We start from the raw sequence: 26,869 nt of genomic DNA on the forward strand, positions 1-26,869 counted from the left end.
CTGGCCAACATGGTGAAACCCGTCTCTACTACAAATACAAAACTTAGCCAGGCATGGTGGCACGCACCTGCTGAGGTGGGAGGCTGAGGTGGGAGAATTGCTTGAACCTGGGAGACAGAAGTTGCAGTGAGCAGAGATCATGCCACTGCAGTCTAGCCTGGGTGGCAGAGTGAGACCCTGTCTCAAAATAAAGTAAATAAATAAATAAAATAAAAGTAGGTAGAAAAGTGAATATTTATTTAGACTGTGAGAAGAAAGCATAACAAATTAGAAATATAACAAAGTTGACTATTAAGTATCACAAAATCCAGAAACCTAATATTTCTATTGAATAACTGCTGATATGCTTCTACAATGCTTCCTTCTTTCAGTTCTTGGCTTCATACTATGATTTTCACTCTTCATATCAGAAAAACTGTATAATCTTTTCTGGAGAGAAAACAGTTCAGTCTTCTAGCAAAAAAAAAAAGGTTGTTTTGTATTATTAATCGCACAGAAAAGTTACTTTCTACTTCACAATTTGTTATTGATTATCTTACATAAATTTTTTGGGTGGTTATCAAATTTGGGGAAACTTGTATCTGGTTGCTTTTTTAATCAGCTGTAGGATTTCAGGGCATTTCTTGGCTAATTTTAAGAGTTTTTAGAATTCATGACACACATTCACTAGAGAAAATGTACTTTAAAAGTCCACTATATTATAATGTGCTACATAATTTGTACAACAAATTACTCTTACGATACACAATGATTCAAAGATGAGTACGTGTAGGAGTTTTGTTCAGTAGAACATTTGTTTTTTCAGGCTGTTTCTTGCATGCTGTTTCATCTCGAACCACCAGATTTCATCAGGACAAGATACATTAGATTCACAAAACTATAATGTGATATGCATGCAAAAATATGCAACTTTACATTTTGAATGGAGTCACTGCTTAAAGTACTGTCACAGGTTGGTATCCTACAAATACAAGAATTCAGATAAATTCTATCTTATGAGACTCCCATTATAATAGGAAAAACTGTAAGATGTATGATCAGCGCACACACTACATTACTAAAGTTTATTTATTTATTTTTTTTTTTTTTTGAGGAAACAGAGTCTTGCTCTGTCTCCCAGACTAGAGTGCAGTGGCACAATCATAGCTCACTGCAGCCTCAACCTTCTGGGCTCAAGCAATCCTCCCACCTCGGCCTCCCAAGTAGCTGGGACTACATGCATGTACCACCCTTGGTTGGCTAATTAAAAAATATATATTTTTTTGTAGAAATGGGGTCTTGCTATGTTGCCCAGGCTGGTCTAAAACCCCTGGCCTCAAGCAATCCTCCCACCTCAGCCTCTCAAAGTGCTGGGATTATAGATGTGAGTCACAGTACCTGGCCTAAAGTATATTTCTAACAGAAGAGAACTTCATTTCGACTAAGAGTTGATGCGCATCTAGTTTCCTAATTATAATTTTACACATCTGGTAATAAAAGAAATTTTCACAGGTTAGTGCGAATACACTTCAAACCTTGTTTCTCCCCCGCTATTTTGGGACTAGGCACTGAAGGACACAAGCACACTATGGTCATACTGTGGTGTGGTCTCCAGCCTTGCACTGTTGTGTCACTTCACCCAGTGAGTGAGCACAGTGAGTGAGAGAAGGATTTCAGAAAGTCATCTGCACCGGAGAGCCAGCAGTAATGGAACAATACATGCAAGTAACTGCAAACTATGTAAATATATCCCACTAAGTTAAATTAAATGTCTCTCCAGCTTTACATTACCTTGGCAGGATCCCAGAAAGTTCATAGTCATGTTAGTCACCTGACCCAAGAGAAAGACAGTGCTCTTAATTGATCATGGTTAAAATACCACTTTGCAAATTTTACAAAAATGTATCATCATGTGGACATAAAGCTGGAAACCCACCCATGTCCTTGGAATGGGCTTCCTCAGTGAGGGGCCCTGAAGCTTTTGCTTCATGAGGTTTGTGGTCATTCTTTTCCTATGTAATGGCCTTTCTATGACTGCTGCGCAAAGACAGGAAAACAATCAGCAGTATCATATTTAAATGTGAAGGACAAGGATTGAGCATATGGACTGCTGGAACATGTATTCCTTTTGTAGGGCTGCCATTACAAAGTACCATGAACTAACTGGCTTAAGGCAATGGCAACTGGTTGGCTCTTAGCTCTGGAGGCTAGAAGTCTGAAATCAAGGTGTTGGCAGAGCCATGTTCTCTCCGAAGGCTCTAGGGAAGAATGCTTCCTTGCCTCTTCCACCTTCTGGTGGTTCCTAACAATCCCTGGCATTCCTTGTCTTGTAGATGCAATTCCTTGTCTCCAATCTTTGCCTCCATCATTACATGGTCCTGTCTGAGTGAGTCTGTGTCCCTTCTCCTCTTCCCATAAGGACACTAGTAATACTGGATTGGGGGCCCACTCTAATCCAATATGACCTCATCTTAACTAATTACATCTACAAAAACTCTATTTTCAAATAAGGTGACATTCTGAGATACTGGAGTTAGGACATCAACATATCTTTTTTGAGTGACACAATTCATCTCATAACAGAAAGGAAACAATGCTGTCTTCACTATGTATTGGTTATCTGTATGATCCTAAGCAGCTCAAATTTGTCATTCAACAAACATCAGTTAGCACTAAGTGTGTGCTGGGGATACTGAGAAGAGTATGATCAGGCAGCCACTCTTAGAGAGCTCCCAGTCTGGGAGAGAGATAAGGAAACTAGCAGTGCAATGCAGAGTGGTGGTTGCTAAACTGGAGGCATGTGCACACAGTGAGATAGGCCCACTAAGGACAGAGCCTGAGAGCATGAGGGTTTGAGGGGCTCTACAAAACGTGGCCTGTTTGAACAGAGTCTTTAAGAATGACTAGATGCTCACCAAATAGACAATGGAAGGCAGAAAATTCCAAGTGGGAGTAATAATGCATGAAAAGGCTTGGATTAATGGAAAATTGTTCATTTGAGGAAATTTTGTGTTATTTTGTGCGACTGGAAGGAAAGTGTCCTTTGACATGGCAGATTAGGCCAGAAAAATAGGGGGACTCAGGTGATGAAGACACAGGAAAGTGTGTGGAGGGTGTGTGTGTGTGTGTGTGTGTGAGAGAGAGAGAGTGTGTGTGTGTGAGACAGAGAGAGAGAGAGTGTGTGTGTGTGTGTATCCACATGTGAGCCAGGGGTAGAGCCAACCATGGTTAGAAGTCTGGTCTTTATCTAATAAGGGGGATGGGTACCAAAAGGAAAATAACTTGACTGGGTTTGCATTTCAGAAAGATTGCTGGGGCATCAGCGTGAAAGGTGGATGAGAAGGAAAAGGAGAGCAAAATGGTCTCTCTCTCTGACACCCTCGTTTGGCTAGGCAGGTTCACACAGGCTATCTTCTTTAACCTCTTCAACCACCCTTTCAGATACACTTGAAAGGTGTGGGAACTGGGGCACGCAGCAGAGGAAAATACCCACAGTTCATAATCAGCCAGCTATTGGCTACTCGGTCCATTGGCTCAAGGCATGGCAGTAGTCCATGGAAGAGGCCATCGGAGCCTGACCTAAGGCAAGAAGCAGCGTGATAAGGAGGAGAAGATGGAGGCAAAGAATGCTCAGACTAAATTCCCATCCATGGAGGCATGGAGGGCAAGACAGATGGCCTCACTGGGCCTGTTTCTTCATCTGTCATGTGGGGAAAACAGGCCTTACTAATATTCCCACAGCCTCAGGTCGAGTGATGACCACTATAACAGAACACCTTGAGGAGATGAAACGCACAGGGTCACCTGAGCATTGCCACAGAGGAGAGCTTTGTTTTTGTCACTTTGGCCTCTTTTTCTGGAGTATTCACACTGTAATAAAGCTAAAATCATCCCAGGGATTATCCAGGGAAAAGGAAAATTTCAGGGAGGGAGAATAAGGGCAGGAATTGATCTAGTGCCTCAGACACAGGAAAGTGTGTGGAGGGTGTGTGTGTGTGTGAGAGAGAGAGTGTATATGTGTGTGTGAGAGTGTGAGAGAGTGTGTGTGTGAGAGTGTGTGTGTGTGAGAGAGAGAGAGAGAGAGTGTGTGTGTGTGTGTGTGTGTGTGTGTGTATCCACATGTGAGCCAGGGGTAGAGCCAAGGCTTCTTCTTTGTCTTTTTCTTGTGTTTTTATTTTCCCCTGCCTTTCTCTCTCTTTCTTTCCTTGTCTTTTCCTTGTCTTCATTTTCTTTTCCTCTCTTCTCTTTTCCTTTCTTGGATCTATTCCTTTCTGGGGTATCTCTAAAAGACCCCGAACCCCCTGCAAAAAACAAACACAATTATTCCATGAAATCTCTTATTTGGTTGAGATATTGCTCTTCAAATTTATCCCACCACCTTAAAAATAACTACAATGCTTGCTTTAACTTTGGTAGTCTTATCTCTGCCACTTTGATGTCATTTAGCTTATATAAGGGCAAGATGGCAGAGGTGGTGTTTTGTTTTCTTTTGTTTTGTTTTGTTGTTAAATTCTTCCCTACTTCTATTTCCTAGCTCTCTCTATATTTGGAGTTTAAGTGTAGTGGTGGCTGATTTTGAGTTCCTTTTTAAATCTAATCCAGTATAAATATTAACCTGCTTAATATTTAGACATTTATAGGCTCACTCAGCTTATGTTTGGTACTTATTTTTTGTTTGTTTTGTTTTTATGGAGACAGAGTCTCTCTCTGCCACCTACATTGGAGTGCAGTGGTGTAATCACAACTCACTGCAGCCTCAACCTCCTGGGCTCAAGCAATCCTCCCAACTCAGTCTCATGAGTAGCTGGGCCTACAGGTGTGCCCACTCATGCTTGGCTAATTTTTAAATTTTTTTATAGAGATGAAGTCTTGCTATGTTGCCCAGGCTGGTTTTGAACTCCTAGCCTTGAGACATCCTCCCACCTTAGCTTCCCAAAGTGCTGGGATTACAGGCGTGATCCCACAGATCATGTTTGGTATTTTAAAGTAAAAACAAATGTGAGTTGGAGGACTAAAGAAATTGTTAGCATAAATTTATCTTTATGAGATCATTTGTATTACTTGTGATTATCTTCCCAGACACCAGAGCTTGAGCATGAAAAGTCAGGCTCCCCAGGCCTCATAGGATAGAGAAGCCCTCAGGGAGTGCAGTGGGTCTTCCCCTGACCCCACCTCCAGAAATGCCATGCAGGTGAATTGCTTAACATATATACTATATTAATTTTATATTCTCATAGGCACATCATTGCATGCATCAGATTAACTCTATTAAAAGGCTTATTAAATTGTGATAATAAATTAACTTCACAAATCCTCAATCGTTTATATTTGTTGCTTATTGATACGTTTACTCATACATGTTAAGGATTGAGGAACTTTATGTTCCACCCTACCTTTTCATTCATGCATGCATCCATCAGTCATTCTTCATTTTACAAATGTGTATTAAGAAACTACTATGTGCTATGCTATGAGGATAAAACCATACCATAAAATGATAAAACAAGTGAATTTAGTGAAAAATTCATTGAGATGTTTATGCCCTATATAAATGTGTTATGTATAACTGTGTTTTCTCTTTTATGCGCAAAGATGATCCCTACAGCCTGCCATCAGCAGGACTTGTACCTTAGCTACTTTCTGGTCATGGCATGGGGTGCCCTAAACCATCCCTTCCATACCCCAGGCCCTGTGTGATCCTAGATATGTGCAATGCTTGTATTCTGAGACTCCATTCACTCATACACTCCAGACCTGGGTCTCTACATACACGGGTGCTGAAGATTTTCAAATCATTTAAAAGTTAGGGATGTCTGCTTTTATCCTACAAAAAGTACCTAAACTACCTTTCCTTTAACCACAATGGTCACATTGGTTGTGTGTGCTAAAACCATTGATTTTCCAAATATAGTGCCTGCATTTAGCAAAGAGAGTAAATTCCCCTTAGTTGCCACAAAGCCAAACAATACTGGGAGAAGCCTGCCTATTGAGGTGGAGCTGATGCTGGGGCAGAGGGATGAGCTCTGGCCGCAAGTTCATTGTGGCAGGCAGACTTTCGGCATGTGAGGGACTAAGCCCAGACAACAGGGGAGCCAGCATGCTGATGCATGACCAAAATACAGGGAAAGAGAGTGTAGGAACAGACAATACTCAGAAACACACGGGCAGGCAGCAGGGCCAAGCAAAGTCTGTCGGCAGACACAGAGACCAGGCTAAGCTGCTGGGGCAGGGGGCAGGCATCAGATGAGTGCAAAAGAAGCTTCCCTCAGGAAGACAGAAGAGGGCAATGATAGAGTTGACTCCAGAGGCAGACAGAGGTAGGTGTGAATCCTGATCCAGCTACTGTGTAACTATGGAGGAAACCACTGGTAGATTTCTTTTTTTTTTTTTTAATTATACTTTAAGTTCTAGGGTACATGTGCACAATGTGCAGCTTTGTTACATATGTATACATGTGCCATGTTGGTTTGCTGCACCCATTAACTCCTCATTTACATTAGGTATTTCTCCTAATGCTATCCCTCTCCCTGCCCCCGACCTCATGACAGGCCCCCGTGGGTGATGTTCCCTGTCCTGTGTCCAAGTGTTTTCATTGTTCAATTCCAACCTATGAGTGAGAACATGTGGTGTTTGGTTTTCTGTCCTTGTGATAGTTGCTCAGAATGGTTTCTAGCTTCATCCATGTCCCTGCAAAGGACATGAACTCATCCCTTTTTATGGCTACATAGTATTCCATGGTATATATGTACCACATTTTCTTAATCCAGACTATCATTGATGGACATTTGGGTTGGTTCCAAGTTTTTGCTATTGTTAATAGTGCTGCAGTAAACATATGTGTGCATGTGTCTTTATAGTAGCATGATTCATAATCCTTTGGTTATATACCTAGTAATGGGATGGCTGGGTTAAATGGTATTTCTAGTTCTAGATCCTTGAGGAATCGCCACACTGACTTCCACAATGGTTGAACTAGTTTATACTCCCACCAACAGTGTAAAAGTATTCCTATTTCTCCACAGCCTCTCCAGCATCTGTTGTTTCCTGACTTTTTACTGACTGCCATTCTAACTGGTATGAGACGGTGTCTCGTTGTTTTGATTTGCATTTCTCTGATGACCAGTGATGATGAGCATTTTTTCATGTGTCTGTTGGCTGCATAAATGTCATCTTTTGAAAAGTGTCTGTTCATATCTTTTGCCCACTTTTTGATGGGGTTGTTTGTTTTTTTTCTTGTAAATTTGTTTAAGTTCTTTGTAGATTCTGGATATTAGCCCTTTGTCAGATGGATAGATTGTGAAAATTTTCTCCCATTCTGTAGGTTGCCTGTTCACTCTGATGGTAGTTTCTTTTGCTGTGTAGAAGCTCTTTAGTTTAATTAGATCCCATTTGTCTATTTTGGCTTTTGTTGCTATTGCTTTTGGTGTTTTAGTCATGAAGTCCTTGCCCATGCCAATGTCCTAAATGGTATTGCCTAGGTTTTCTTCTAGGGTTTTTTACGGTTGTAGGTCTAATGTTTAAATCTTTAATCCATCTTGAATTAATTTTTGTATAAGGTGTAAGGAAGGGATCCAGTTTCAGCTTTCTACATATGGCTAGCCAGTTTTCCCAGCACCATTTATTAAATAGGGAATCCTTTCCTCATTTCTTGTTTTTGTCAGGTTTGTCAAAGATCAGATGGTTGTAGATGTGTGGTGTTATTTCTGAGGGCTCTATTCTGTTCCATGGGTCTATTTCTCTGTTTTGGTACCAGTACCATGCTGTTTTGGTTACTGTAGCCTGGTAGTATAGTTTGAAGTCAGCGTGATGCCTCCCTACTGGCAGATTTCACACCTGAATCCTCTTCTTCGTGAACACACATCCCTTGTTGTTAGTTGTGGCAACTAACTAGACATGACTGCATTTTAGCCAATGCATGGTGAGTGGAAGCAATCGGGACTGGTCCTCCACTCAATTCTCCATGCTGCTGCACCATTGGGTTGACCTTGGAGTTGAGAGGTAAAACTATAAGATAGATGGGGCTTGGCCTCTGAATAATCACTGCTTGGAGGAAAGCCCTGGCCACTCAGAAACATCTGCTCTGGATTTCAGGTGAACAATAAATGCATTTCTATTGTGTTGAAACTGAGATTTAGGGGGTTACTGTTACTGTAGCGACTATTACCTTAACTCATACAATAACTTAGACAAATTACATAACCTTGCTAAAGCTCATCTGAAAATTTAGAGGAATATTAATCAAATGATTTCCTATCACTCTTCAGCAACCTGGGATTCTCTTTCCTAGATAGTTTCCTGTTCCATGATATCGCTTCACAGAGGCTCTGCTTTTATATTGCTGATACTTGAGAAAGGAATTCCTTGGCCATTCTCTCTAAAACACTACTCTTCTCTTGCAGCATCCACCATCATTTTTCTTCTAAATTTATCTTCCCCTCAATTTTATTGACATATAATTGGAATACAGTAAAATGTACATATTCAAACCATGAATTTAATTAGTTTTTCCATGTGTGCATACCTTGCCCTGATTTAATTTTCTTCTTAGCATTTATTTCTACCGATTTATTTGTTTGTTTGTTTATAACCTGTCTTTTCCATTAGAATATGTTTCATTAGAATGTAAATACCATACCTTTTGGGCAGCATGGGTGACTTTATGTGGGAGCTATAGTCCTAGGCTGGCTCTCTTCATGGTTTTCCTACATCTAATTCATCCAAGAGCAAAAAAAGCCAAATAGGTTCTCTCCTGCCTGCTAATCCTAGGCAGTTGGATACAGCTGCATGGAGCACCGAGTTGAGGGGAATTCTAAGATTGCATTTATCTGGGCTTAGCAGAAATGAGAATGGTGATCCATTAATGATGCCTACCTCGAGTAGGAAAGTAGGAAGTGTCACAGGCATATTTGCAATTATTTTCCTAGAAACTATTGTGGGGCTGACCCTGCTGGTGGGGGTCAAATCATCTCAGCTGTGGGAGGAAGTGAGCCACAGAGGCTGGGAAAAGGCAGGACCTGACAGTAACATTGCTGAAATGCCATTTACCGCCTGCACTGGCTGTGATTACGCAAAGGCTGGCAGTTGTGTGATTAAATACACTGAGATGAATAGTCTGAATGGGCTTTGGGCTCCTGGCTTTTTTCCTGATGATTTTCAATGGGTAATAATAACATGGTGATAACTTCCACATAGGAAGAGGACACAAGGGCACAAGAGGACTTTCATGCCCACCTTAACCAGGCTTGTGCTTACCCTGACAATGGTTGCATCTCACTAAATTGGTACTTATGCAAGCCCCCTTTTCATTCCAGCAGCATGATTTCTTTCCATGGGATGCCTTAAAGCAAAGCACCTAGAGCCTGATGAAGCCTCGTCTGACAGTAATTGAAGATACAGACTAAACCCTCAAGGTTTGAAGCTCGCCACATGTAATTCAGCCTTGTTCCAGCAAGCCATAAATCTGAGATGTCTCCTTTTATCATAAAGTGTCTCTTGCAAAATCATTTTCTGTTTGTCCAAGACCAAGCTTCAAGAGATCCACTTTACTGCAGCCAGATCTAAAGCCTGGATGCTGCCTAATATTCTCTAAAGCCTTGGAATTTGAATAGCTCAGAGGCTGAAACACAATATACATTAAGTGCTTAACTTCTTCAGGTATCCCCTCAAAAGCCACTGAATCTCGCTGCTGTGCAAGTCTCTCCTTAGTAGAAAGTCAGGAACCCAGTGGTCTTTCCTACCAGTCTTCAGAGTCACTTGTAATTGTAAGGAACATGGCTGTGCTTTCGTCAAGGATAGGCCGAGGTAAACATCCAAAGTGACTCAGCGAGTTTAGAGTGCAGGCATATAACTCCACTTGTTATCACAGCCATGTAGCCATAACATGGGAAGGCTTATCATTTGGCTCTAAGCCACTATTGTCTGTAAAATATATAATTGCCCTGCTGACACTGTACAGGTGCGCTCATGCCCAGAGAGAGACAGAGTTAAGCTACTGACCCTGAAGGCGAGGGAGAGCTGGCCGTACAGCTGTGCATGGGAGTGGCTGGCTCAAGCAGCCAAGACAGAGCAGACAGTGTAAGACAGCTGCTGATAAGAGAGCTGCTGAATGAAGCTGTATTTCAGCTACCTACGGCCCCCCATCGAGTGTTCTTTCAGCTATCTGCCATTCGTCCCCCCACTCCCTTCAGACCTCAGCATGGGCTGGAACCTGAACTTGAACCTAACAGCAACCCTTTAATGTATGCAGTGGCAATGGTTAGGGATTCTATCACCCATCATTGCCAGTATGACACCCACACCCAAGCTAGCGTGTATGTGTGTGTATTCATATCCGTGCTCATTTTTAAGTCTTTTAATTCTTTCAATACACTTTTATTATATTTTCCACCTAATTTTTTGTATTTTTAAAATGTTTTACTAGGTACCTCTTATTTTTGAACACTATTTTGATATTTTACTTCATTATTAAAATGATTGCTGGTATATAAAAATGTATTGTTTTGCTGTTATTCTTGTTTTTATTGGTTGTTTATCCAATCATTTTGCTAAACTTTCTTATTAATCTTAATAATTTGTCTGTAGATTCTTTTAGATTTCCTATATAGAAAATTTTATATTCTGTTACTAATGACTCTTAGGATGCTTCCTTTTCAATCTTCCCTTACTGAACAGGTCAGCATCACTGAAATAGAAGTACATGAAATAGAAGTAGAGATGATAAGCACTTTAGTCTTATTCTGATATTAAAGAAAATATTTTCAATAGTTTTCCTTTTTTTATTTTATTTTATTTATTTTATTTTTTTTGAGACAGAGTCTCCCACTGTCACCCAGGCTGGGGTGTAGCGGCACGATCTCAGCTAACTGCAACCTCTCCATCCCAGTTCAAGCAATTTTTGTGTCTCCGCCTCCTGAGTAGCTGGGATTATAGGCATGTGCCATCACGCCCAGCTAATTTTTTGTAGAGATGGGGTTTCACCATGTTGGCGAGGCCAGTCTCAAACTCCTAACCTCAGGTAATCCACTACCTTGGCCTCCCAAAGTGCTGGGATTACAGGCATGAGCCACCACACCCAGTCAATAGTTCTCCATTTCTTATCATGTTTGCTGTTGGGATACTTTAGCCTGATTTTTGAGGTTAATAAAGTTTCTTCCTATATCTAGTTGCTCAGTGTTTATATTGTGAATATATGGTGAATTTTAGCAATACATTTTTCCATTACTACTGAGATGACTTTGTAGTTTTCCCCTTTAATTTATTAATTGACTTTCTAATGTTAAACTAATCTTAAAAGTCTTTGGGATAAATCCAACTTATCCATGGGGTATTATTCTTTTCATGCATTGCTCAATCCAGCTTGCTGATATTTTGTGTAGAATGATTGCCTCTATGTTCGTAAATGCCACTGAACTGTCATTTGTATTTTTTGTACTGTCTTTGTCAAGTTTTGGTATTAAGAGTATGCTAGACTCATATATTCTACAAGAAATTTTATAAAATTGAGATTATTTGTTCATTGAATGTTTAATAGCGTTTAACAGTAAAATTGTCTGGGCCTGATTATTTTTGGTGGGAATACTTCATAGTACTCATTGAGTATCTTTATTGATTATAAAATTATTCATAGTTTCTATTTTTTCCTGAATCAGTTTGTTGAGTTATATTTTCCTAGAATTTGTCAGTTTCATCTAAATTTTTAAATTGATTGGCATTATTCAAAAGACCTTATTTCCATCTTAATAATTGCAGCATCTGTAATCATATCTTTACATTTATAATATTAATTTGTACCTCCTATCTCTGCCATTAAGTTTTCAGTGTGTCAATTTTATTAGTCTTTTAAAAACACTTTGGCTTTGCTGATCTTTATTACATGTTCATTTTCTGCTTCTATCTTTGTTATTTAATTCCTTCTACTTCCTTTGGGTTTATTTTGCTATTCTTTTTCTAACTTCTTAAGAGGAATACCTAGTTCATTAATTTTCTTCCACGATTCTTGTCTGACTATGCCTTAGACTATAAATTTTTCCCCAAATATAGCTTCAGTGAAAACCTAAAACTTTTCATAAGTAATATTTTCCATTCTATTTCATTCTAAATAGGCTGTAATTCTCCTTGTTATTTCTCCTTTGGCCTTGGAATGTTTAGAATTATGTCTTCAGGTGTCTAAATAAATAAAATTTTTGTCATATTTTTCTTTTTTATTTTTAGCTTAATTATACTATGATTAGAGAATATGACCTATGTGATTAAAATCTTTTAAATGTGTTGAGCCTTGCCTTGTGGACTCATATGTTGTTGATTTTCATAAATGTTTCTTGTGTGCCTCTGAAGTGTGGGTTTCCTGAAACTGATTGCAGTATTTCATTTATGGAACTGATCTATGATTATATGAAACTTGTTAATTGTGTTATGCAAATTTTATCTATCCTTAGTGGTTATTTTCTTAGCCTGCTTGTCTTCTTACTAAGGAGATATATTAAAATCTCAGCTGGGCACAGTGGCTCACACCCGTAATCCCAGAACTTTGGGAGGCTGAGGTGGAGGATAGCTTAAGGCCAGGAGTTTGAGACCAACCTGGGATACATAACAAAACCCTACCCCTACAAAAAATTTTAAAAGATAAAAAAAAAAAAACCTCTCACTGTGATGCTGGATTTGCCTATTTTTCATTGAAGTTCTGTAAATTTTTACTTTATCTATTTCGAGGCAGCATTTTTAAGGTTTGTATAAACTTTATTATTATATCTTTCTATTGAACTTAACCATCTCGAAATGAAGATATTCCTCCACTAGAAATATTTTTCCCTTATGGTTTATTTTGATATTAATAAAGTGAAACCAGTTATCTCCTAATTAGCATTTGCTCATTGTTCCTTTTGCCTAAGCAGTAAATGAATAAACTACATTTTGTTTCCTATTTGATATGGTCATATTTGCCTTTTCATTGGAATGTTTAGTTCATTCTCATGGATTATAACTACTGATATATTTGGATTTATTTCTGGCCATTTTAACTCTATCTGCCATAACTCTTAACCTCTCTTTTATCTTTTCCATCTCTTTTTCTGTTTCTACATTCTGAATAATTTCTTCTCTTATCTTCCAGTTGACTAATTCTGCTTAGCGGTAACTAATAAATTGTTAAAAACAATACATATGTTAATTCAATTATAATACTTATAATTTTATGCAGTTCTGTTTTATTCTATTTCAGATTTGCTTGCCTGATCTTTTTTTGTTATTGTTGTTTTAGTGACATCTTTTTTTTTTAATTAGTGACTTTTTAATTTTTTATTATACTTTAAGTTCTGGGATACATGTGCAGAACGTGCAGGTTTGTTACATAGGTATACACATGCCATGGTGGTTTGCTGCACCCATCAACCTGTCATCTACATGAGGTATTTCTCCTAATGCTATTCCTCCCCTTGCTCCCCATCCCCTGACAGGCCCTGGTGTGTGATGTTCCCCTCCCTGTGCCCGTATGTTCTTATTGTTCAACTCCCACTTATGAGTGAGAACAGGAGGTGTTTGGTTTTCTGTTCCTGTGTTAGTTTGCTGAGAATGGTGGTTTCCAGCTTCATCCATGTCCTTGCAAAGGACATGAACTCCCTCTTTATGGCTGCATAGTATTCCATGGTGTATATGTGCCACATTTCCTTTATCCAGTCTGTCATTGATGGGCATTTGGGTTGCTTCCAAGTCTTTGCTATTGTGAATAGTGCTGCAATAAATAGTGCACACTGTGAATATGTGCATGTGTCTTTATAACAGAATGCTTTATAATCCTTTGGGTATATACCCAGTAATGGGATTCCTGGGTCAAATGGTATTTCTAGTTTTAGATCCTTGAGAAATCGCCATGCTGTCTTCCACAATGGTTGAACCAATGTACACTCCCACCAACAGTGGAAAAGACTTCCTATTTCTCTACATCGTCTCCAGCATCTGTGTTTTCCTGACTTTTTAATGATCATCATTCTAACTGGCATGAGATGGTATCTTCATGTAGTTTTGATTTCATTTCTCTAATGACCAGTGATGATGAGCTTTTTTCATGTGTCTGTTGGCCACATAAATGTCTTCTTTTGAGAAGTGTCTGTTCATATCCTTCGCCCACTTTTTGATGGGGTTGCTTGTTTTCTTTCTAGTAAATTTGTTTAAGTTCCTTGTAGATTCTGGATATTAGCCCTTCCTCAGATGGATAGATTGCAAAAATTTTCTCCCATTCTGTAGGTTGCCTGTTCACTCTGATGATAGTTTATTTTACTGTACAGAAGCTCTTTAGTTTAAGTAAATCCCATTTGTCAATTTTTGCTTTTGTTGCCATTGCTTTTGGTATTTTAGTTATGAAGTCTTGCCCACGTCTATGTCCTGAATGGTATTGCCTAGGTTTTCTTCTAGGGTTTTTATGGTTTTAGGTCTTACATTTAAATCTTTAATCCATCTTGAGTTAATTTTTGTATAAGGTGTAAGGAAGGAGTCCAGTTCCAGTTTCAGTTTTCTGCATATGGCTAGCCAGTTTTCCCAACACTATTTATTAAACACGGAATCCTTTCCCCATTGCTTGTTTTTGTCAGGTTTGTCAAAGATCAGACAGTTGTAGATGTGTCATGTTATTTCTGAGGCCTCTGTTCTGTTCCATTGGTCTATATATCTGTTTTGGGACCAGTAACATGCTGTTTTGGTTATTGTAGCCTTGTAGTATAGTTTGAAGTCAGGTAGCATGATGCTGCCAGCTTAGGATTCTCTTGGCTATACAGGCTCTTTTTTGGTTCCATATGAAATTTAAAGTAGCTTTTTCCAATTCTGTGAAGAAAGTCAATGACAGCTTGATGGGGATAGCATTGAATCTATACATGAGCATGGAATGTTTTTCCATTTGTCTGTGTCCTCTCTTATTCCCTGAGCAGTGCTTTGTAGTTCTCCTTGAAGAGGTCCTTCACATCCCTTGTAAATTATATTCCTAGGTATTTTATTCTCTTCATAGAAATTGTGAATGGGAGTTGATTAGGCTGTCTGTCTATTATTGGTGTATAGGAATGCTTGTGATTTTTGCATATTGATTTTGTATCCTGAGACTTTGCTGGAGTTGCTTATCAACTTAAGTAGTTTTGGGGCTGAGATGGTGGGGTTTTCTAAATATACAATCATGCCTTCTACACACAGAGATAATTTGACTTCCTCTCTTCCTATTCGAATACGCTTTATTTCTTTCTCTTGCCTGATTGCCCTGGTCAGAACTTCCAATACCATGTTGAATAGGAGTGGTGAGAGAGGGCATCCTTGTCTTGTGCCGGTTTTCAAAGGGAATGCTTCCAGCTTTTCCCCATTCAGTATGATATTGGCTGTGGGTTTGTCATAAATAGCTCTTATTTTTTTGAGATACGTTCCATCAATACCTCGTTTATTGAGTGTTTTTAGAATGAAGGGCTGTTGAATTTTGTTGAAGGCCTTTTCTGCATCTATTGAGATAATCATGTGGTTTTTGTCATTGGTTCTGTTTATATGATAGATTACATTTATTGATTTGCATATGTTGAACCAGCCTTGAATCCCAGGGATGAAGTCATCTTGATTGTGGTCGATAAACTTTTTAATGTGCTGCTGGATTCAGTTTGCCAGTATTTTATCAAGGATTTTCGCATCAATGTTCACCAGGGATATTGGCCTGAAATTTTCTTTCTTTTTTTATTTTATTGTGTCTCTGCCAGGTTTTGGTATCAGGATGATGCTGGCCTCATAAAATGAGTTAGGGAGGAGTCCCTCTTTTTCTATTGTTTGGAATAGTTTCAGAAAGAATGGTACCAGCTCCTCTTTGTACCTCTGGTAGAATTTGGCTGTGAATCCATCTGGCCCTGGGCTTTTTTTGGTTGGTAGGCTATTAATTACTGCCTCTATTTCAGAACTTGTTATCGGTCTATTCACAGATTCGACTTCTTCCTGGTTCAGTCTCGGGAGGGTGTATGTGTCCAGGAATTTATCAATTTCTTCTAGATTTTCTAGTTTATTTGCATAGAGGTGTTTATAGTATTCTCTGATGGTAGTTTGTATTTCTGTGGGATCAGTGGTGATCTCCCATTTATCATTTTTTATTGCATCTATTTGATTCTTCTCTCTTTTCTTCTTTATTAGTCGAGCTAGCAGTCTATCTATTTTGTTAATCTTTTCAAAAAGCCAGCTCCTGGATTCATTGATTTTTTGAAGGGTTTTTCATGTCTCTAACTCCTTTCGTTCTGCTCTGATCTTAGCTATGTCTTGCCTTCTGCTAGCTTTTGAATTTGTTTGCTCTTGCTTCTCTAATTCTATCAATTGTGATGTTAGGGTGTCAATTTTAGATCTTTCCTGCTTTCTCTTGTGGGCATTCAGTGCTATAAATTTCCCTCTAAATGCTGCTTTAGCTATGTCCCAGAGATTCTGGTACATTGTGTCTTTGTTGTCATTGGTTGAAAAGAACTTATTTATTTCTGCCTTAATTTCGTTTTGTACCCTGTAGTCATTCAGGAGCAGGTTGTTCAGTTTTTATGTAGTTGTGCAGTTTTGAATGAGTTTCTTAATCCTGAGTTCTAATTTGATTGCACTGTGGTCTCAGAGACTGTTATGATTTCTGTTCTTTTGCATGTGCTAAGGAGTGTTTTACTTCCAATTATGTGGTCAATTTTAGAATAAATTCGAAGTGGTGCTGAGAGGAATGTATATTCTGTTGATTTGGGCAGGAAAGTTCTATAGATGTCTATTAGATCCTCTTGGTTCAGAGCTGAGTTCAAGTCCTGAATATACTTGTTAATTTTCTGTCTCATTGATCTGTCTAATATTGACAGTGGGGTGTTAAAGTCTCCCACTATTATTGTGCAGGACTCTAAGTCTCTTTGTAGTTCTCTAAGAATGTGGTTTATGAACCTGGGTGCTCCTGTATTAGGTCTGTAAATATTTAGGATAGTTAGCTCTTCTTGTTGAATTGATCCCTTTACCATTATGTAATGCCTTTCTTTGTCTTTTTTGATCTTTGTTGCTTTAAAGTCTGTTTTATCAGAGACTAAGATTGCAACTCCTGCTTTTTTTGGCTTTCCATTTGCTTGGTAAATATTTCTCCATCACTTTATTTTGAGCCTATGTGTGTCTTTGCATGTGAGATGGGTCTCTTGAATACAGCACACCAATGGGTCTTGACTGTTTATCCAATTTGCCAGTCTGTCTTTATATTGGGGCATTTAGCCTGTTTACATTTAAGGTTAAAATTGTTATGTGTGAATTTGATCCTGTCATTATGATGCTAGCTGGTTATTTTGCCCATTAGTTGATGCAGTTTCTTCATAGTGTCAATGGTCTTTACATTTTGGTATGTTTTTGCAGTGGCTGGTACCAGTTTTTCCTTTCCATATTTAGTGCTTCCTTCAGGAGCTCTTGTAAGGCAGGCCTGGTGGTGACAAAATCTCTCAGCATTTGCTTGTCTGTAAAGGATTTTATTTCTCCTTCACTTCTGAAACTTAGTTTCATTGGATATGAAATTCTGGGTTGAAAATTCTTTTCTTTAAGAATGTTGAATATTGGCCCCCACTCTCTTCTGGCTTGCAGGGTTTCTGCATTGAGATCCACTGTTAGTCTGATGGGCTTCCCTTTGTGGGTATCCAGACCTTTCTCTCTGGCTGCCCTTAACATTTTTTCCTTCATTTCAACTTTGGTGAATCTGACCGTTATGTGTCTTGAGGTTGCTCTTCTCGAGGAGTATCTTTGTGGTGTTCTCCATATTTCCTGAATTTGAATGTCAGCCTGTCATGCTAGGTTGGGGAAGTTCTCTTGGATAATATCCTGAAGTGTGTTTTCCAACTTGGTTCCATTCTCCCCATCACTTTCAGGTACACCAATCAAATGTAGGTTTTCTCTTTTCACACAGTCCCATATTTCTTGGAGGCTTTGTTCATTCCTTTTCATTCTTTTCTCTTTAATCTTGTCTTCGTGCTTTGTTTCATTAAGTTGATCTTCAATCTCTTATATCCTTTCTTCCACTTGATCAATTCAGCTACTGATACTTGTGTATGCTTCACAAAGTTCTCATGCTGTGTTTTTCAGCTCCATCAGGTCATTTATGTTCTTCTCTAAACTGGTTATTCTAGTTAGCACTTTCTGTAACCTTTTTTCAAGGTTCTTAGCTTCCTTGCATTGGGTTAGAACATGCTCCTTTAGCTTGGAGGAGTTTGTTATTACCCACATTCTGAAGCCTACTTCTGTCAATTTGTCAAACTCATTTTCTGTCCTGTTTTGTTTCCTTGCTAGCGAAGAGTTGTGATTCTTCGGAGGGAAGAGGCTTTCTGGTTTTTGGAATTTTCAGCCTTTTTGCTCTGGTTTTTCCTCATCTTCATGGATTTATATACCTTTGGTCTTTGATGTTGGTGACCTTCGGATGGGGTCTTTGTGCGGTCATCCTTTTTGTTGATGTTGATGCTGTCGCTTTCTGTTAGTTTTCCTTCTAACAGTCAGGCCCCCCTTCTGCAGGTCTGCTGGAGTTTGCTGGAGGTCACTCCACACCCTGTTTACCTGGGTATCACCAGCAGAGGCTGCAGAACATCAAATATTGCTGCCTGCTCCTTCCTCTGGAAGTGCCCCAGAGGGGCACTTGCCAGATGCCAGCAGGAGCTCTCCTGTATGAGGTGTCTGTCGACCCCTGCTGGGAGGTGTCTCCCGATCAGGAGACTCAGGGGTCAGGGACCCACTTGAGGAGGCAGTCTGTCCCTTAGGAGAGCTCAAGCGCTGTGCTGGGAGATCCACTGCTCTCTTTAGAGTCAGCAGGCAGGAATATTTAAGTCTGCTGAAGCTGCACCCAGAGCCGCCCCTTCCCCTGGGTGCTCTGTCCCAGGGAGAGAAGAGTTTTATCTATAAGCCCCTGACTGGGGCTGCTGCCTTTCTTTCAGAGATGCCCTGCCCAGAGAGAAGGAATCTAGAGAGGCAGTCTGGCTACAGTGGCTTTGCTGAGCAGTGGTGGGCTCCACGTAGTCCAAACCTCCCAGTGGCTTTGTTTACACTGTAAGGGGAAAACCGCCTACTCAAGCCTCAGTAATGGTGGACGCCCCTCCCCCCACCAAGCTCAAGTGTCCCAGGTCGACTTCAGACTGCTGTGCTGGCAGCAAGAATTTCATGCCAGTGGATCTTAGCTTGTAGGGCTTCTTGGGGGTGGGATCCACTAAGCAAGACCACTCAGCCCCCTGGTTTCATTCCCCTTTCCAGGCGAGTGAACAGTTCTGTCTCACTGGCTTTCCAGGTGTCACTGGGGTATGAAAATAACTCCTTCACCTAGCTGGGTGTCTGCCCTAATGGCCACCCAGTTTCATGCTTGAAACCCAGGGCCCTGGTGGTGTAGGCTCCCAAAGGAATCTCCTGGTCTGCAGGCTGTGAAGACCACAGGAAAAGTGTAGTATCTGGGCTGGATAGCACCGTCCATCATGGCATAGTCCCCCATGACTTCCCTTGGCTAGGGGAGGGCATTCCCCGACCCCTTGCACTTCCCAGGTGAGGCGACGCCCCACCCTGCTTCTGCTCACCCTCTGTGGGCTGCACCCACTGTCTAACCAGTCCCAGTGAGATGAACTGGATACCTCAGTTGGAAATGCAAAAATCACCCACCCTCTGCATTGGTCTCGCTGGCAGCTGCAGACTGGAGCTCTTCCTATTTGGCCACCTTGCCCAGAAAAAAAATGTTGCCTATTCTTTATAGATTCTTTCCACTGCTCATATTTTCAAGCTTGTCTCTTACTTTATTAAATATGTTTACTATAGCGATCCAGAGTATTTTTAGGTCTGTTTCTGAAGTCTGTTCGTTCTGCTGTTGCTTTCTATCCTTGTGATTTTTTAACTATGAGCTGCTCAGTTTGCTTGAAAATTTATCTCTGGAAATTGCTTAAGGGCCTGGGATGACGATGGGTTCCTCCAGAGATAACCCACATTGGCTTCTGCCACACTCCTGGAGGCCTGTCATTATAAGTCTAACTTTAAATCACATTCATGGCTCAATGTTTTTTGAGCTGCTAATTCCGTTTAAATTCAGACTTCAAATTAGCATGAGGCCCACTGTGTGGCTAAAAATTCTGAGAGGACTTTTCCTCTGATTAGCACCAAGTTTTGAGACAATTAATTTCCTCTGCAGATAGGGGAGAGAGGAAGGATAAAACCAACCCCTTAGGGTCACCGCTTTTTAAAGAGAGGGTCTATTATTAATTTCCCACCTTGTACACACCCTGGGTTTTCTCCTGTTCCCTGTTTTCTATGAGGCCATGAAAAAAAAAAAAGATTAAGTTTATCAGGATCAGCAACTCTACACAAAACATCATAAGCCCAATTGTGGTTCTCAGTAAGTAAAACCAGGTCACCCTCTGCTTTTACAATTACCATATTGTATATCTAAATGTCAAAAATTATCTGACCTACATTTTCAGTTTAGTGATTTGACACAAATCCAAAGATGGTGTGTGTGTTTCAATAATACAGCCACTACTTCAGAGCTTCATAATTCAGTACAAAGGAGAAGGCACTAATGAGAGTCAGGGGCTGGGAAAACATTGTGTGATACATACAGGCAACATTCTCGATAATATCATAGAAGAAAAAAAGCTTAGATCTTAGACATCTCAAGTGCAGCCTCTTCGTTTTACAAATAAGGAAACAATAGATCAGAGATGCAATGTCATATAACATATTACACAGCTAATAAATGTCAGAGCCATGGTCAGAGATCATCTAACTTTCAACTTAGTCTTTCTTCCTCATAAAACTGTGGTTTCTAAACTTGAGTAGGTAGGATAAAACTTCCCCATGAGTCACTCCTCAAAGGTTCTTTGATCAAATAAATTTAGGAAATTCTGCACACCATAACTCCCTCTTAGAGACTTAGAAGCCATACAACATACCTAGGGCTCAGAAACATTGTGAAGTAAAGAATTCTACATAACTATTACTTCACAAAGTAAGTTAACCATAAAAATCTTTTTCTACAGAATACTTGCTAATACTGTACAGGGCACTGGTGTTTCCCAAAGCAAATTAGGAAATGGTCCCTTGAAAAATCATCTCAGCTACTTTCTAAGTAGCATGAAACTCTGCAGTTATTACATCCCCAACAAAACAAAACAAAAAATCCTCCTGCACATATTATTTTATTACATTTGAAGTTGGCATGCCTAGAGGCATAGATCAAAATTTTGCCTCATCAGTTATTTGAACTTTCAATTGTGTAAATAGAAAATTTTAATCTTTTAAAAATGAATTAGAGAGGACTTCCACTTCCAACTATAATGGATTACCTCTTATCAGACCACCTCTCCTACTAAAAACAATTCCCAATGTTGAATAGAATATTAGAAACAGCTGCTTAAAGATATCAGTAATCAGTTAAGGCAGCCAAAAGTTGCTGGGCCAAGACCCCAGGGAGGAGGGAAAGGCATTTCTGTGAGCCTTTCTTCTCTGCCAATTTGTAAATGAAGTAGAGTCAAGAAGCCAACCAAAACGTAACTTCTCAGAGCTTTTTGCAGTTTCATGGAGCTACAGAAACAAAAATTGAAGTTTTAGGTGACAAATAAGTCAGTACCTAAAGTCCTAAGATACTACAGAAAAGGAAACTACAGGTAAGAGGGCCCCATATTCTGTCTGTGTGACTTTTCTCAATGAAGAATTTGCTGATTCTCAAGTTGCACAATAAACAAAACAACAGCTAAGAGGAAAAAGCTAAGCAGAACTCTTAGGATTCTCACGGTGCTAGGAAACAAAAGTAGAGGTTAGGGCCTGACAAGAGAAGGGGCCCTAGTAAGCACAGAAGACTTTCCAATGACAGTCCTGAAGGGTTACTCTCTAGAAGACAAAAACTGGAAATATATTAGCCTTTAAAAAGACTGAAATCCAGCTTGGAATGGTATGATTTGCAACAGGATCAAGGTCATCTGTGACTTCTCTAACTGCTACAAGAAAAGTTAACCCTCTCTGAAAAAAAAAAAAAAAAGCCTCTACAATTTCTCATAGAGATATTCTGGCCTTGAATAAAAAGAAAATTTACAGATATGCCAAGAGAAAGGACTGTATGACTAAAAACCAAAGGGAAAATTAGATAATAGGAATAGACCTACAAATGCTACAGATAATCACCGTCAGATACAGACTTTTAAATCACTATCTTTGATATCTTCAACAAAATAGATGAAAATATAAAAATTTCACTAGAGAACTAGAATCTATAAAAGCATGAAATGAGAATTATAAAACGAAAAAATGCAATTACTAAAAATAAAATCCCCATAGTGAAATTATCAGGAAACTAGATACAGCAAAATACAGGATTAGTAAATAAATGATAGGTCCATAGAAACTGATAGGCCGGTCTGCAGAACAGCAAGGGAAAAGAATGGAAAAATACTGAACAAAGGATAAGAAACATGGAAAGTGGTAGAAGGTCTAACATATTGTAATTCACCTCCCAGAAGGAGAAGATAGAGAGAATAGGGTAAAAGCAATATTTGAAGAGATATTTAGGCTGAGAGCTACCTAAAATAAAGGCATCAAACCACAAATTTTTAAAATTCTACAAATTTTAAGTAGAATAAATACAAAGAAAGCCATACCTAACCACATCATAGAAAAATTGTGATAAACAAAACCAAAAGGATATCTTAAACCCACTTAGGATAAAATATGCATTACTTTCAAAGATAAGGTAATCTTTGCAGTTGACTACCAACAGAAATTATGGAAGCAATGTTGTCTTTAAGTTGTTAAATGAAAATAACTGCCAATATCCAGTGAAAATGTCCTTCAAAAATAAAAACAAAATAGGCTGAGTGCAGTGGCTCACACCTGTAATCCCAGCACTTTGGGAGGCTGAGGTGGGTGGATAACTTGAGGTCAGGAGTTCAAGACTAGCCTGGCCAACGTGGTGAAACCCTGTCTCTACTGAAAATAAAAAAATTAGCTGGGCATGGTAGCACATACCCGTAATTCCTGCTATTGGGGAGGCTGAGACATGAGAATCGCTTGAACCCAGGAGGTGGAGGTTGCAGTGGGCTGAGATCACACCACTGCACTCCAGCCTGGGCAAGAGAGTAACACTCTGTCTCAAAATAAAATAAAAGCAAAATAAAACATTTTCAGGCAGAAAAAGAGATTGAAATTGTCATCAGACCACCTAAAGGAAATACTAAAGCGAATTCTTTAGGCAGAGAAAAATGATCCTACATGGAACATGGAAATACAGGAAAGAATGAAGATCAATGGGAAGAATAACTTTATTGATACACCTAAATAAAAATTGACTGCAAAAAAAATGATAAAGATACTTTGATTTTAAATATATGTATAACAAAAATACGTGACAAAAATAGCAAATTCAGAAAGCAATAAAAACAATTGAAGAATACTAACATTCTTGCATTATTTGATAAATGGTAGCAGTACTAATTTATAATGTGCTCTAATAATTCAAGGTTGTATATCATAGTCTATTGAATAATTTAATAGAACAGTAAAAAAAAAATAGCTATGACTAACAACCTAATGGAGAATAGATGAAATTTTAAAATTTGGTTAGGCCATAGGTAAATTTTAAAAAGGAGAAAAACAGGAAACAAGAATGTATGAGAAGGCCAAGCACACCGGCTCATGCTTGTAATCCCAGCACTTTGGGAAGCAGAGGTGGGTGGATCACTTGACGTCAGGAGTTCAAGACCAGCCTGGCCAACATGACGAAATCCTGTCTCTACTAAAAATACAAAAATTAGCTGGGCTTGGTGGCGCATGCCTGTAGTCCCAGCTACTCAGGAGACTGAGGCCGGGGAATCCCTTGAGTCAAGGAGGCAGAGGTTGCAGTGAACCAAGACTGTGCCACTGCACTCCAGCCTGGGTGACAGAGTGAGACTCTGTCTCAAAAAAAAAAAAAAAAAAAAAGCGATAAGTAGAAAAAAAGGACAGGACAAATATTACAAATACAACAATAATTACATTGTTAATATATGAAATGTACTTTAAAAACAAAGCTTGTTAGATTGTATTGTAGATAACCAATTACATGCTGATGACATTAAATGGGGGAACAAAGTTGATGTAGCTTTAGTAATGTCAAACAATGTAAACTTTAATGCAAGAAGATTATCAGAAATAGAGACATTTTATAATGAAAAAGCATCAATCCACTAAAAAAGACAAAACAATCTCAAATTTGTTTGCATCTAATAGCATTGCCTTAAAACATATAAAACGAAACTTAAAACCTAAGGGAGAAATAGAAAAATTTACGATCACAGTTGGTATTTTAATACATCTCTCTTAGTAACTGAAAGAACAGACAATGAATTAGCAAAGATATGAAAGAGTTCAACAACACAAATAATGAATCTGATCTAAATAGCACATACAGAACGCTCTGCCCAAAAAACTGAAAGATACACTCATTTTTCAAGTGCATATAGAACATTTACTTAAACTGACTATAAACTGGGCTGAAAAGAAAGTCTTAATAAATTTTCTAAAATTAAAATTATATAAAATGTTTTCTGACTTCATTAAAAGAAAGCCATAAATACATAATAAAAATACAGTTAGACTATATACATTTAGAAATTTTAAAATATATTTATAAATGACCCATGGGATCAGAGAGAAATAAAAACAGACATTGGAAAATAACTTTAACTGATTAATAAGATTATAACATATCGAAACTTGTGAGATGCAGCCCAAGGTGTGTTTACAGATAAATATATAGTCTTAAAATCATGTATTAGAAGGGAATTAAGCTTGAAATTTAATGATCTAAATATCCATCTCAGGAAAGTTTTAAAAGACATAAAGATCATGTCTTTCTCAGGGACATGAATGGAGCTAGAAGCCGTTATTCTTGGCAAACTAACTCAGGAACAGAAAAGCAAACACCGTATGTTCTCACTTATAAGTGGGAGCTGAATGATAAGAACACATAGACACATGTTGGAGAACAACACACACTGGGTCCTGTCGGGGGTGGTGGTGGGGAGAGGGAGAGCATCAGGAAGAAGAGCTAATGCATGCTGGGCTTAATACCTAGGTGATGGGTTGATCTGTGCACGTGTTTACCTATGTAACAAGCCCTCACATCCTATACACGTACACCAGAATTTAAAATAAAAGTTGAAGAAAAAAAAGAAATGGAAAAAAAAAGACATAAAGAACAGAAAATTAATGAAACAGAAAACAAATTCAGAGAAAACTTACAGAGACAAAAGTTGGTTCTTTAAATAGAACTTTATAAACTCTATAAACCCCTAGCAAGAATGAAGGAAAAAAAGAGAGAAAACACAAATTACCAATATCAGAAATGAAAACAGAGACATCATTTCAGATCTAATAGATATTTAAAAGGTAATATGTGTATATTACAAACAATTTTATGCCAATACAATTGAAAATTTAGATGAAATGGGCAAAGTCCTTGAAAAACTTAATTTACCAAACTGACTCAAAAAGAAATAGACATATAGCAATAGAAATATGAATAGCCCTATATTTATGAAAGAAATTGAATAATATAGAGCTTCCCACTTTAAAAAACAAGCTCATTTTAAAATGCAAATCTGGATGGCTTCACCAATTTTTCTAAACATTTAAAAAATAATGTTAAATTTATACATATTCTTCCAGATAAAGAAATAAAATAGTCTGTATGTCCCCATTTGTATCATGAAGCCAGGATAAACTTGATACTAAACCTCACAGAAAACAATTAACAACAAAATCCCTCTCATGAAATAAATACAATGTTAGCAAATCCAATTCAACAGTAGGTAAACATATCATACAACACAATCAAGTTGGATTTATTTCAGGAATGGAAGGTTGGTTTAACATTCCAAATCATCTTTCTAATTTTAATCTCAATAGATACAGATAAAGTATTTAATAAAAGTCAACATACATTTACTATAAAAATTCAACAACTAGGCACAGAGGTGAATTTCGTGATAAAGTAAATTTCCTGATTAAGTAAATTTATCTTATGAAGGTGTATACAAAATGCCGACAGCCAGCACCATTATTGTTTTGAGTTATTAAGCCATTGGATAATTGTTAGGTTTGAAGCCCATCCTTGTTTACTTTTCTTTGTTATTGGGGGCCAGGACTCTGCAAATCACATTTTCACTTTGCCAGCAGAATCCATGTTCAGCTGTGCCAATAAGGGGCATAAGAGGGAGGCTCCAAGGCTGGAGGAGGAAAAAGGTTTTCTCCCTCCTGTTTGCTTTCCATTTATGTTTGTATTAATGCACCAGAAGTTCTTCATCCTGACAGCAACAGTTGTTCCTAATAGTGGCTGTTGGTGCCACTCTGCAGTTTTTTCCTACTTTAGAATCTGTCTCACCATGCCCCTCCAGGGATCCCAAGACCAACTCTGGAGTTGCTCCTTCCCAAGACCTAAGACTAGCCCTGGAGTTACTCCCTCCTTCAAGATTGGAACCCCAGCTCCAAGGAACCCTCTTCAAGGTTCCCAAGCACCAGCACCAATCAGGCAGTGAGTGACCTGCACCCAGGGGTCTATGATCTGAATCCATGGAGACCCTCATCTAAGCTTTTAAGTTTTATGACTACCAACCTCTTCTCTTTGTTTTCCCAGCACTGGACTAGTAGCTGTTTCCTGTTGTAACAACAACCTCTGTGATACCTACTGTCCTCTCTGCCTTTTCTCTTCTCTGAAATGTGGTTAACAATTCTTCAAATTAAATTCTCCCTCTTAAAATAACTGGCATGGTTTCTGTGTCTTAACTGATGCTGACTGATATAATGCATAATGGTAAAATTTTGAAATCTCCTCCCAGTGAAAATGAGAATTAGCAAGGACACTGCTGACATCTCTTCTATGAAGCAATATTCTGAGAGACCCAGCCAGGAC

At 38.8% G+C, this 26,869-nt stretch overlaps 1 long non-coding RNA gene across 1 annotated transcript in view, besides 4 other annotated features; it reads right to left on the reverse strand.

Moving 5' to 3' along the window:
• The window catches only part of LOC101927066 (uncharacterized), a 494,634-nt gene that overhangs the window by 364,072 nt on the left and 103,693 nt on the right, over positions 1–26,869 (reverse strand). The window lies entirely within an intron of this gene.
• Positions 3,252–3,770: an enhancer, noted in NCBI's record as "OCT4-NANOG hESC enhancer chr8:98331415-98331933 (GRCh37/hg19 assembly coordinates)". NCBI's record gives its function as "activates a minimal SCP1, AML or CMV promoter by ChIP-STARR-seq in naive H9 embryonic stem cells {active_cell/tissue: H9 hESC(naive)}" and the evidence as "EXISTENCE:reporter gene assay evidence [ECO:0000049][PMID:30033119]".
• Positions 8,886–9,180: a silencer, noted in NCBI's record as "tiled region #7239; K562 Repressive non-DNase unmatched - State 22:ReprW". NCBI's record gives its function as "represses a minimal TATA promoter and a strong SV40 promoter by Sharpr-MPRA in K562 cells {active_cell/tissue: K562}" and the evidence as "EXISTENCE:reporter gene assay evidence [ECO:0000049][PMID:27701403]".
• Positions 18,753–19,359: an enhancer, noted in NCBI's record as "H3K27ac-H3K4me1 hESC enhancer chr8:98346916-98347522 (GRCh37/hg19 assembly coordinates)". NCBI's record gives its function as "activates a minimal SCP1, AML or CMV promoter by ChIP-STARR-seq in naive H9 embryonic stem cells {active_cell/tissue: H9 hESC(naive)}" and the evidence as "EXISTENCE:reporter gene assay evidence [ECO:0000049][PMID:30033119]".
• Positions 19,360–19,965: an enhancer, noted in NCBI's record as "H3K27ac-H3K4me1 hESC enhancer chr8:98347523-98348128 (GRCh37/hg19 assembly coordinates)". NCBI's record gives its function as "activates a minimal SCP1, AML or CMV promoter by ChIP-STARR-seq in naive H9 embryonic stem cells {active_cell/tissue: H9 hESC(naive)}" and the evidence as "EXISTENCE:reporter gene assay evidence [ECO:0000049][PMID:30033119]".

This window comes from Homo sapiens, chromosome 8 (assembly GCF_000001405.40).
Source record: "Homo sapiens chromosome 8, GRCh38.p14 Primary Assembly".
NCBI lineage: Eukaryota > Metazoa > Chordata > Mammalia > Primates > Hominidae > Homo > Homo sapiens.